This window comes from Homo sapiens, chromosome 2 (genome assembly GCF_000001405.40).
Source record: "Homo sapiens chromosome 2, GRCh38.p14 Primary Assembly".
In the NCBI taxonomy this organism is placed as follows: domain Eukaryota; kingdom Metazoa; phylum Chordata; class Mammalia; order Primates; family Hominidae; genus Homo; species Homo sapiens.
Genome location: NC_000002.12, coordinates 204,334,812 through 204,347,286, shown reverse-complemented (window position 1 = coordinate 204,347,286; position 12,475 = coordinate 204,334,812). Strand labels below are relative to the sequence as shown.

The window sequence follows — 12,475 nt, the reverse complement described above, 5'->3', positions numbered from 1 at the left end:
GTGCAACTTATGACCTTCCTTCTTCATTATCTACTCCATCATCGTCTTACCTTTACTCAAAACCTTATCTTGCCTAGTTTCTTTGCTTGGTATAGTTCTGAGCCCTGAGAGAGCCTATTTGTAGGTTATACCAGTTTTCCATTAACTTTTATCCTTGGCCGTAATGATGTAAGACACCCCCAAAATTCCTTGAATTCTATCCACATTGTACAATAGAAATACTTTCTTTCTTGAGAGTCAGCACCAACAATTTTAACTAACAGTGTATATCCCACAGTCAAAGTAGGTTTTTAATTACGAAAGTACTATTGTGTTCACTGTAGAAAAAAATCCAGTGTAGAAATGTGTAAAAAGAAATCCTTACAAATGTCAATAAAAAGCAAATAGAATGCAGCAAAATTTATTTTCTTATTCCTTCCCTTTCTTCCTCCCAGAATTAGCCACTATTAACTGCTTAATGTGATTTCTTGAAGATTCTTTTTAATACATATACATGTATGTATTTTGTGCCCCTTGATGTATGATGCCATGTCAAAGGCTCAGGGCTGGTTGCTATTGCTGCCTTTGGTATATATTTACAAGTACTAAAATGGCCAAAGAGTAAACAGTAGGAAGTAAATATGCACAAGCAAGGCACTTGGTTAATTTGGTTAATCAACGCTATCATAAGTAGCCTGACCTTGGCCACTCAGCATGCTGTAAGCTCCCAGCAGGGAAGAAGGAGTGAGCTAGCAATAGGGGAAATTAACTGATCATCATGTCCCATTGAGTCTGATTGATGTTGTTGTCTACATCTGAGGGGTCTGATTGGAGGGAATGGGGTGAGGAGGAGTTGCAGGTGCTTTAGGACAGCAGCAGTTTTTGGTTTTAGTTTATGTAGATTCAGCAAGGAGGATACAAGGAATGTCAAAAACATTAAACAGATGTGGAGGAAGGGTTTCAGTCTATTTGGCCCAGATTCAGAGTCTGGCACTTGGCACAGGCTCTCAGTTGGTTCATTCTTATTGGTGGCTAGGTGACCCTGAAGACAGCAGGTACAAAATAACATCAGTGTAATGGAATCTATACATTTTTCACTACAGAGATTTAGATTTTAGTTCTCATTAAAGATTATAAAATAAATTTTTTATTTTACAAAAGGTTTCTGAATACATCTAAATTCACAGAGAAGTTTTGAATATGAGAGTTCCCATATACCTCTCACCCACTCACCCCTACTGGCATCTTACCTTAGTATGGTATATTTGTGATGATTAATATTGATATGTTATTAACTCAAGCCCATACTTTATTTATTCAGATTTCTTCAGTTTTTACCTAGTGTTCTTTTATGGTTCTAGGACCCCAAGCAGGATACTACATTAAAGTTTGTCATCGTGTCTCCCTAGGCTCCTGGTGGCTATGACAGTTTCTCAGACTTCCCTTGTTTTTGTTGACCTTGACAATTTAAAGGAGCACTGATCAGCTATTTTGTAAATGTCCCTCACATAGAATTATCTCATGTTTTCCTCATGATCACATTGGGGTTTGGGTTTTAGGGAGGAAGACCACAGAGATAAGGTGCCATTCTCATCGCATCATATCAAGGACACATTCTATCAGCATAACTTATCACTGCTGATGTTAGCCTTAATGACCTTGCTAAGACTGTGTTTGTCAGGTTCTTCCACTGCAAAATTCCTCTCTTCTCCACCCCATCCATAATGTACACTTTGTGGGAAAGTCACTATGCACCACCCACCCTTATGAAATGGGATTTATTCTCACCTGCTTGAAGGCAGAATATGTACAGAAATTATTTGGAATGCTGTTTTGGGAGATTTGTCTCTTTTCTTGTTGATTATAAACAATGCTACTTTATTTATTTTGTTCCTCTGAAATTGTTCTGGCTGTGGCCACTGAAAGTTCTTTCAATCAGCCCTTCAGTTTCTCTGACATACCACTGTTATTGTGGCGGTTTTTGTTTTTTGTTTTGTTTTGTTTTGTTTGTTTGTTTTACTTCTCTAGTTTCTGGCACTACAAGATACTCCAGACCCATCTTGTATATTTCCTTCCTCAGGCTTACAATAGTCATTTCTCCTAGGAGTCCTGGTTCCTTTTATTGAAGAATGGAGTTATAAACTAAATCTGGGTTAGGTATGCTTGTCGCTACTGGGATGTCTTTCTTTCTAGTCCCTCTCAACTAACAGAGCAAGGAAATAGATGTGTACATACTAACTCATACATATACAAGTATCTATAAATATTTGTCTCTTTGTCTCTCATGTCAGCATGAGTTCATACTGACGTCTCCAACTCTAATCGATTTCCACATGGCTCATTCTAGCCTTCTCCCCTTGCTCATCTGGAAACCACCACGCCTGCAGTGAGAAATCCAGCTCCCACTATCTGCCAGCCATTTACTGTTATTATTCAATACTAATATACATGTATGTTGTTATGTTGTTCCACACTTCTATGTGGAACAACTTTATCAATTAGAGTATAGTGGTTTTGTGCACTTTCATTTGCCTTACAGACCCCACTCATTTCCAGAGTTACTTGGGTCAATATCTTTCTCCCTATCCTCTTCCATGGGGTTGTTTGACACATTGGTAATGCTGTTACATGCTTTTGAGATGCAGTTAGATTCTTTTGTCATTCCATCCTAGGATGCCCCATCTGCCTAATGATTTGTGTTGTTGTTAAATGCATATACATTAAGGTTCACTCTTTGTTATAAAGTTCTATGGGTATTGAACAAATGTATCATGCCATGGAACCACCCTTACAGTATTGTTACCTACTGGCAGTGAATCTGTATGGGTCTGCAGCAAACTCAATTCTTGCCTCCTCAGAAAAAAGAATTCAAGGGGACATAAGGCAGAGAGAGAGACAAGGGCACATTTTAGAGCAGGAGTGAAAGTTTATTAAAAAGCTTTAGAACAGGAATGAAAGGAAGTAAAGTACACTTGGAAGAGGGCCAAGCAGGTGACTTGCGAGATCAAATGCCCTGTTTAAACTTTGACTTGGGGTTTGATACGTTGGCATGCCTCTGGGGTCTTGCATCTCTTACTTCCCTGATTCTTCCCTTGGGGTGGGCTGTCCACATGCACAGTGGTCTGCTAGTGCTTGGGAGGGGAGCCTGTGCAGTGTGTTTACTGGACTTGTACACATGCTCACTTGAGGCATTCTTCCCTTACTAGCTGAATCTTCCTAGAAGGTCATATACCAGTTAAACTCTGCCATTCTGCCTCTTAATGTGCACACTTGAGCCCACTCACCCAGCTCCTGAGATCTTATTAAGAAGCTGCCGATCACCAGTTTCAGGTTTCCTCTACTGGGAGACTGCCTTGCCCTGGCGCCAGCTATGACCAATTATTATTTTAGAGAGACAGTTAATAACCACCTGACCATCACCTGACAGTCACCTGACACTCCTGGTTGGGGGTGGGGAGGAGGAGCCCTCTCCTGCACTGCTGTTGCCTGACTAGCTACCTACTGTAACAGTATCATTCAGAATAGTTTTGCCATCCTAAAAAATCTCCTGGGCTTTACCTATCCAGCCCTTCCCCACTGGCTCCCTGCAACACTGGCAACCACTGATCTGCTTACCATATCTATAGTTTTACCTTTTCCAACATGTCATGTAAATTGAATCGTATAATACATAGCCTTTTTCAGGTTGGCTTCTTTCATTTAGAACTTGCATTTAAAATTCATCCATATTTTGCGTGACTTGCTAGCTCATTCCTTTTCATTACTCAATAATATTTAGTTGTATGGGTGTTCCACAGTTTGTTTATCAACGGACCTATTGAAGGACATCTTGGTTATTCTAGTTTTTGGCAATTATGAATAAAGCTGTCATAAACATTTGCATGCAGGTTTTTATGTGGACATATGTTTTCAAATCAGTTGGTAAATATCTGGGAGCACAATTGCTGTTTAGTATGGTAATAATCTATTTAGCTTTGTAAGAAACAACCAAACTATCTTCCCAAAGTGGCTGTAAATTTTGCATTTCCACCAGCAATGGATGAGAGTTCTTGTTGCTCTGCATCCTCACCAGTAGTTGGAATTGTTAGTTTGTTTGGATTCTAGTCATTTAGCCATAGGTATGTACTGGTGTTGCTTTCTTGTTTTAATTTGCATTTCCCTAATGATAAATGATGTTGAACATCTTTTTTATATGCTTATTGGCCATCTGTATATCTTCTGTAGTGGAGTATCTGTTTCAGATCTTTCGCCCATTTGTTAAGTGGGTTGTTTGCTTTCTTAATGTTGAGTTTTAAGAGGTTTTCGTGTATTTTAGATACAAGTCCTTTATCAGACATATGTTTTACAAAATATTTTTCTCCCAGTCTGTAGCTTTTTTTTGTTTCATTCTGTTCACATTGCTTTCACAGAGCAGAATTTTAACATTTTCACAAAATCCAAAATGAAGAAGAAAGGAGAAGAATATCACTGTAGCTCTAGAGGTAGAACTGGAATCCAAGATTTTTTCTTCAGAAGAAGGAACATAAGAGGCATGGGCAGATTTTATTATATACTGAAATCACCATCACCCTCAGCATCAACCTAAACTTTCCTCTTAAAATGACATTCTTCTCATAGTCACATCTGTCGTAGGGCATTTGTGATATGTACTATTCTCATCATTGTTAATTTCTAATTTTTAAAAAAATTGCAGTGTTAATTCTCTTCTTGATTCAATAAATGAGAGCAGGAACTATATACTTTTGCCTTTTTGTAATTGTATTGATGCATGATCTTTTTATTTTTTAGTAGGTGTTTTATTAGTATTGAAAATAAAGGTGTATTTTATGATTATGTGTATAAACTGATTTATATTTTTTATTGGCCTGTCAAAAAGAGAAAGAGGTATGTTAAAATGTCCCATTGATATTGTACTTCTGTCCATTTCTCCTAATTTATAGCAGATTTCACTTTTTGTATTTTGATATAATGTTATCTGATGAATAAAAATTCATGACAGTTTTATATTCATTGTGAAATATCCTTTCTGACAGGATATCTTTATCTCATTTAATATTTCTACTTTAATTTCTATATTTGTTGTTAGTAATGGAATTCTTTCTTATTGTCTTTGCCTGATATGTTTGCCCACGTTTTAATTTTTTAATGTATTTTTTATTTAGTAATTTCATAGTAGGTGGGTGTTTGGAAAATGTCACGTAGGTGGATTTCCCTTCTCTTATACAATCTAAAGATACTCTCTTTTAATGAAGGGGATTCCCCCAATTGCATTTATATTCATGAACATATTTGATCATTATTTCACCACCTTTTCTAAAATTTCTCCTTATGTTTCCTTCCTCCCTCCCTCCCCCTCCCTCCCTTCCTTCCTTTTTTCCTTCCTTCCTTTTTAATGCCTTTTATTATATGACTATATGATTTTTACTTTTACCTTCTCCAATATTTTTGAAGGAATCTATCATTATTTTAAATCTTTTTTTTTTTTTTTTTTTTTGTGAGACAGAGTCTCACTCTGTCGCCCAGGCTGAAGTGCAGTGATACCATCTCGGCTCACTGCAAGCTCCGCCTCCTGGGTTCACGCCATTCTCCGGCCTCAGCCTCCCGAGTAGCTGGGGTGGCCGCCCGCCACCACGCCCGGCTAATGTTTTGTAGTTTTAGTAGAGACGGGGGTTTCACCGTGTTAGCCAGGATGGTCTCGATCTCCTGACCTCGTGATCCACCCGCCTCGGCCTCCCAAAGTGCTGGGATTGCAGGCGTGAGCCACTGCGCCTGGTCTATTTTAAATCTATTAATTGTTACTTTAGTTTAGAAATCTTCTCCAACCCAGAGATGGCCAGTGTGTAATGTCATTCTCTCCTTTTCCAGTGAAGACCGTATAAATGAATCAGAGCAGTTTCCCATTGAGCCTGATATGACCCCAGCAAAGCCCTAGGGCAGTCATTGCCAATTAAGAAGGGTTGGAACACAAGCTGAAATCTACTTCCCATTCTTACTTTTTTCTATTTATTGAGTTAAGCCAGTTGATCCCAAATGTTGCTGCACATTGGAAGTGGCAGAGGAGCTTTCGGGCACCCCATACCAATTAAACGAAACCATCGGAGGGTGAAAGCCAGGCATCAGTGGTTCATAAAGATCCCCAGCTGATTCCAATGCACAACATTTGACAACTATTGAGTTTAAGAACAATTTTAGATTGTTCTTAAACTCAGTATTTTAAGACTTACCCTGCCACCTCTCTGTCATCACTCATGTAATCAAAACGAAAGTGAACTTTTTTGCTCTCCCTCTCCCTTTTCTTCTTTCCCTTCTATCTTCCCACCCGCTCTTCTTTTTTCCTTCCAACCATTATATATCTTCTAATTTAAAAATGAGTTTTGAAATTGGCATCCACTTTTATAATAACATTTACAAAAATTAATTTGGATATCTCTCAATTCTAAATGGTTGAATGTTTGCAGCCAGATGGTTTATACAATTATCTTCATATTTCGAAACTTTGAAAATTTTGTTTTTTCTCTCAGGCATTTCAATTACAGCTTCAAATAATTTTTTCTAAGAAGTTCACATGAATGATACATTGCATATTTGTGAGTAATTTCTTCTGTTGCCTTCACACACAAAATTTGGCTACGTACAAAATTCTTACATGATAATTGTTTCTTTTTTTTTTTTTTTTTTTTTTTTTGACGGAGTTTCACTCTGTCGCCCAGGCTGGAGTGCAATAGCACAATCTTGGCTCACTGCAACCTCTGCCCCCCCCGGGTTCAAGTGATTCTCCTGCCTCAGCCTCCCGAGTAGCTGGGATTCTAGGCATGTGCCACCACGCCCGGCTAATTTTGTATTTTTAGTAGAGACGGGGTTTCTCCATGTTGGTCAGGCTGCTCTTGAGCTCCCGACCTCAGGTGATCCACCTGCCTTGGCCTCCCAAAGTGCTGGGATTACAGGCGTGAGCCACCATGCCCGGCCATTGTTTATTTTTAAAATTCTATAGACATTAGTCCACTGTCTTCTGGTATGTCAAGTTGCAGAAAAGGTATTTGAGGTCAGTCTTATTTGCATTCCTTTCAATCTATTCATTTATTTTGCCAAGAGGCTCATAAATCCCCTTCATTCTTTTAAGTTTTCAAGTTTGGCCAGGATGTACTTTCATTTGGGTCTTTCAAAATTCATTTTGCTTCGAGGTAGTGGGTGCTTTCAATCAGTAAGTACAGATCTTTTTTTTCAGCTCAGAAATGTTTTTCTCGTCTTCGCTTTGGTTTCTCTTCTATTTATACTGATCTAAGAACACCAGTGATCTGTGTTTGCTCTCCATCACATATCTTCCATATCTATCCTCTGTTTGCCATTTAAATCTCTTTGATTTTGCTTCTGCAATCCAGGAACACTTTTCAAGTTTAACTTTCATATGACTAATTCGAAGTTTCACAGCATCATTCAGATTTTTTCTAACACTCATGTAAATTACATTTTTCCATTGCATTTTATACCCAAGGCTTTTTTATGTTTTTGTTTGTTTCTTTGTTCCATTTTTAGGGCACCCTGTTCTTGTTTCATGTATACAAATCTTTTATATTTTGAAAGATACTAATTACAGTTTACTTTGTAATGTTTTCTTTTCCCTGCACATTGCCTTTTTCATCCAGGTTCCTTTTTTCTCTTGTTTTCTCCTCCCCCGCTCCCCACCATACTACCTGCTTTTCTTGGATTTATGGAAAACCTTGATTGTTTGCTTATGTTAAAGAGCAGAGGGCTAAACAGCTGCCTGAAACTCTGAGTGCCTAGATGCAGACTGTCCTCTGTGAATCACTGAAGAGTGCTTACCATTCCCATTGTCAATACAGTGATCGCTTAGTATAAGCAGGGATTGGTCCAAAACTCCTGTGGAACCAAAATCCACAGATGCTCAAGTCCTCTGTATAAAATGGAGTGTAGTATTTGCATATAACCTGTGCACACCCTCCTGTTTAACTCATCTTTACATTACTTATAATACCTAATACAATGTAAATGCTATGCAAATATTTGTTATATTTTATTGGGTTTTTTTATGTGCACCATTTTTTTTCCTGAATATTTGCAATCTGCAGTTCGTTGAATCTGTGGATGAGGAACCACAAAAAAGGAGAGCCAACTATATGTTGGGGGCTTTCAGCACCATGGGCTGATCATGTCCCCTAGAGAAGACTCATCCATCTCTTTCATGAGAAATAAAGTTCCATTCTGGGAGCCAATGGAAGAAGAAACTAGTGCTCAGCAGTCAGTATGCAAACAGATACTTAATCTTCCTATTTTTGGTACAAAACCTGAGAGTTCTCCATTGTTGTCTTTAAGCTGAGAGTTTCTATTTTACCCTGTCTATAATATAAACCTCCAGGCTTCTGCTGGGGATAAGAGATGGCATCCAGTGGCAATCTAAGGGAGAGGGAAGGCACAGAGATCTAGTTTCTTCCTAATTTTCTCAATCCTCCTAATCTTTTGTCCTGCACTCTTTCATCCTGGCTTCTAGAAGGACTAGTGCTGCTAATTTCTGAGTCTCTGGAGGGGGACTGCAGTGTAAATTGGGTTAGTTCTCAGCTTTCCCTACCTACAGTTGAGGATTCCGCTTTCTCAGATCTGTTAAGTCTGTTTCCATATGTCTGTCTGTTTTATGGCATCAAAATTTTGCCACTTTTTCTTTTCTTCCGTTTTCTGTACCTATGTGGGCTGCTATATGAAAACAAGACCAAACAAAATCTCTCTATTATAGTGTTATAAGGGTTTGCCGAGGGAGCAAAATTAGATGTGTTTGTTCAAAGCTCCATCTTTACCTGGAAGTCCCATTTAGATCTTTTTAGATCTTTGGGGCTCCTTGTTAATTTCACTAATCTAAATTATAATTTCACCTTTAATCTGAGCTATCTTTCTCCTTAAGCTCCTAATTTCTAGTGGCCTGTCTTTTGGCATTCTTTCAAGGATTCCCAATGGTTTCTTGATAATATCTTCTTAATCGTGTCATAGATCATTTTCAGAGATGAACTCCTTTGAGCCAAATATTCCCATTTCTTTATGCTATAATGTTTTCACCAGCCTCATTTGTGTTTCTAGTATCTTTACCGATGCTAGAACATGGATAAATATATCCAGACTTCATGTTTATCAAGACAGGGTGAGTGAATTACTCTCTTTGCCTAGCTGTTTGATGGTTGAACTCCCTTCTCAGATCTTGAGCTGGAGGGAAGGTTGACACAAATATCTTCTAGTCTAATTTTCTGTCCCTATCAGAGTTTTTAGGGTGTCACTGCTCTATCAGGGTGTCATTTCCTCCATCACCTACTGCCTGGTTATTTGGTATTCAAGTCGGCTTACTGCTTGAAAAACAAGAGATTGTGCTGCTGCAATGATTGTTATCTGCCTATTTCTTCCCATAGACTTTACCTATGAGGATTTTAAGATCTTCCTCTCCCAGCTTATCTATGCTGCTGCCTCTTCTCCCTCCTCCTGTCCAGTCTATCTCACAAATGCAGTTGTTTACAGGGGTTTTCATTCTCAACATGGATGTAGAAGGATAAGATGGGAAGGAGGGCCAAGGCCAACAGGACTCTGCTTATTTCATAGAATAACATCATATAGTAAAGGTGGAAAAAATACTTAGCTTTTCTAATTGGGCCATAAAAACATCTTTCTTTTTAAAAAATCATCTCTATGAAACCTGAGTAGATGTTTCTCATCCAGATCTATTTCCTTATAATGCACATCAAATTTTTTTTCAATTCTGGCATGAGTTTTCTTGCCCATCTTAGTTTTGGAGCAGAAATCTGAGCTTTTAGTTTTTCTGTGGCTTCATGAAACACTTGCCCTACTTCCCAACTCAGCATATAGGCTTAGTTCAGAAGCTCGTCCCCTCCTGGTCACAAGATGATGACACCTTTCAGGGTATGTCTTCTTATAACCATATCCGAAGGTAGGAAAGGCAGCTTCTCCCTCAGTGTGTCTTTTTATCAGAGGGGAAAATCTTAACCAGGAGCTTCCCAGCATCCTTCTTTTGGGGTTCCATTGGCCATGATTAAGCCATATGTCCAGGGGAGTCTGCAAGAGCCATTATCTAGCATTTTCAGTGTGTGTGCACATGATGGTGGAGGGGGTTATTTGCAGTAAGGGTGAAGGTGACAAGGAATGGCTGTTACATAAGCAACAAACAGTCCTTGCTACCAGCCTATGAAAATCATTGCATTCTACATAAGTATGTTGTAGTTGCTGACTAGAACAAATCAAAGTCATCTTTATGTGAGAAAGATTTGTGTCATTTCCATACCTGGTATAGCCCTCCTCCTTCGTGAGCAAGATCAACATAGACATTGTCAATCACATAAAAAATTCATTTTGTTTCCAGTTTTATTCAGGCTTCTGAGAAGCTCTGAGACAAATTTATGATCCATCACTGGTAAGTAAGCATTATTTCTCATGGTCTACATTTTCTAAACTTCCAGCTTCATTGAACTTCCCCACCCTTAATTTTCCCTAAACTCTTCTCATGTAATCTTATTTTATTTCATTTTGACCCACTGTATATATTTTCAAGAGTATTCTTACATCTTAAGTCCTTTTGGAACAAGGCCAAGTCTAAATAATAATTTATTAACTACTGATGTTTTTATAACCTGGTATTAAATTATACTCGAGAATTGGGACTGTGTTTTGCTGATCTTTATGTATCCTATGTTTCCTTGTCTATAGTAGCACCCAATAAATGTTCATGGAATTGAATTGATTCATCCCCAGGGCTACTCGAGTCCACCAATCCTCTAAATGTGGTCTTCCTTTAATTTTCTAGGGGATTTTAGGATTACAGGCATCAACCAGTTGATCTTGTATGCACAGACAGATAACTGGAAAACAGTCCTTTCCATGCATGTGGTTCAACGTGTGAATTCTTGGACTGGCCTGAGATTGTTATATCAAACAAATGCTTACAAGTATTGATCTGATTTGACAGAATAGCAGCTCAGCCAAACCAGCACACAGCTGCCAGAGTCACACTGGGCCACAACAGCTGGAGACAGACATAGGAAACTAGAAATTATTCAGTTGCAGCCCCTCCAAACCATGTTTGACATGCTATTTATCTTCTCCCACTGAAACTCTCTCTTTCCAAATAAATGAGGGTGGGTGATAGCTTAGGGGTTGTTTACCTTCTACTGAACAAACAAGTCTGAATTAGGAATTAGAATCAGTGAGTCTAAAATGATGAACACGCTTACCCTAGCATTACTTAGAAAATGGGAAAAATAAATTAGATTACTACTTGGAAGGACTCATTGGTTTGGAGAGCAGCAGGGACTTAATTGCAGGTCTAAGGCAGCATAGCCTCCATTTTTCTTCAACACAATCTACAGCTTTCCTCAGAGCAATAGGCAGAGAGTGGATTCCTTAGAGAGTACTGTGATTTGTAGCAAGCCAGCAGAGACAGAGAGCAGGATAGGACCTGCAATTTGCCCTCTAATGACATGGTGATGTCACATTTTCATGGGCCCTGGGATTACTACCTAGCACCTTGTTTCAAACATTTGCTGTCTTGGAGGGCTCCAGGGCACATCTTTCTGTTCCATGGGATGTGTCAGAAGCAGCACAGTCACAGAACTGATGAAGTGAATGAAAGTGTTTTTGTTTCTCAGGCAGAGTTAACAGGATGCTTTACTCCATCAACAGCTGTCCTTGATACGGTATCTTTTTGTAGAATAACACATAACGACATAATGCAGTTTGCTTGAAATTCTAATTAAAATGAGGTACTTGTCTCCTGCTTCAGCCAAATGAAATTATGGAACAAGACTTACAAGCAGCAAGGACTCATTTCAACAGTGCAACTAGCCTGCAAAATCAGTCCCCAAGCAACAAACAAAGTCAGCTTTCAGAATTATGGGACTTAGAGGGTCTACTGCATCCACTAAAAGCATTTGTGTGTGTGTGTGTGTGTGTGTGTGTGCATGATTGTGCACACAGAGCAGAAAGCTAAGTCCTCTAAATAACATTCACATAACAGTCTTAGAACACATGTTAATATTGATGTGCAATATAATACAGTAGACGCTTCCTATGATGCCAGCCTCCTGTGACAGGGCTGAGGCTGACCTTTTAGGTAAAACCACCTTATAATTAGGTCCGTTTGTTACTTGAGATGACTGCTCTGGCTGAGGCCCAAGGTCCCCTGGTTGCACATTGCCTCATCCATACAATAATGATGTATTAATAAGGAATGGCATTCTTTGCTGCCACATAGTCCTCTGTGGGACTTCATTTGTTTAAAACCAAACTGTAAGAAACCAAAAGGCAGAAAGAAAGAGTGCAGGAATCCATGTCAGCTCATACCAGAAGAGTTTGTTGTAGACATGGCACAAATATCTTGCAATATAGTTTACCAAAAATAATATGCACTGATATATTCATATATAAATATATGTTAAAATATATTATATTATATTTATATTTATTTATATATTTATATTAAATATATAATATA

General features: G+C 38.5%; 1 annotated feature.

The window, feature by feature from the left end:
* Positions 463 to 1,006: an enhancer, noted in NCBI's record as "NANOG hESC enhancer chr2:205211004-205211547 (GRCh37/hg19 assembly coordinates)". NCBI's record gives its function as "activates a minimal SCP1, AML or CMV promoter by ChIP-STARR-seq in naive H9 embryonic stem cells {active_cell/tissue: H9 hESC(naive)}" and the evidence as "EXISTENCE:reporter gene assay evidence [ECO:0000049][PMID:30033119]".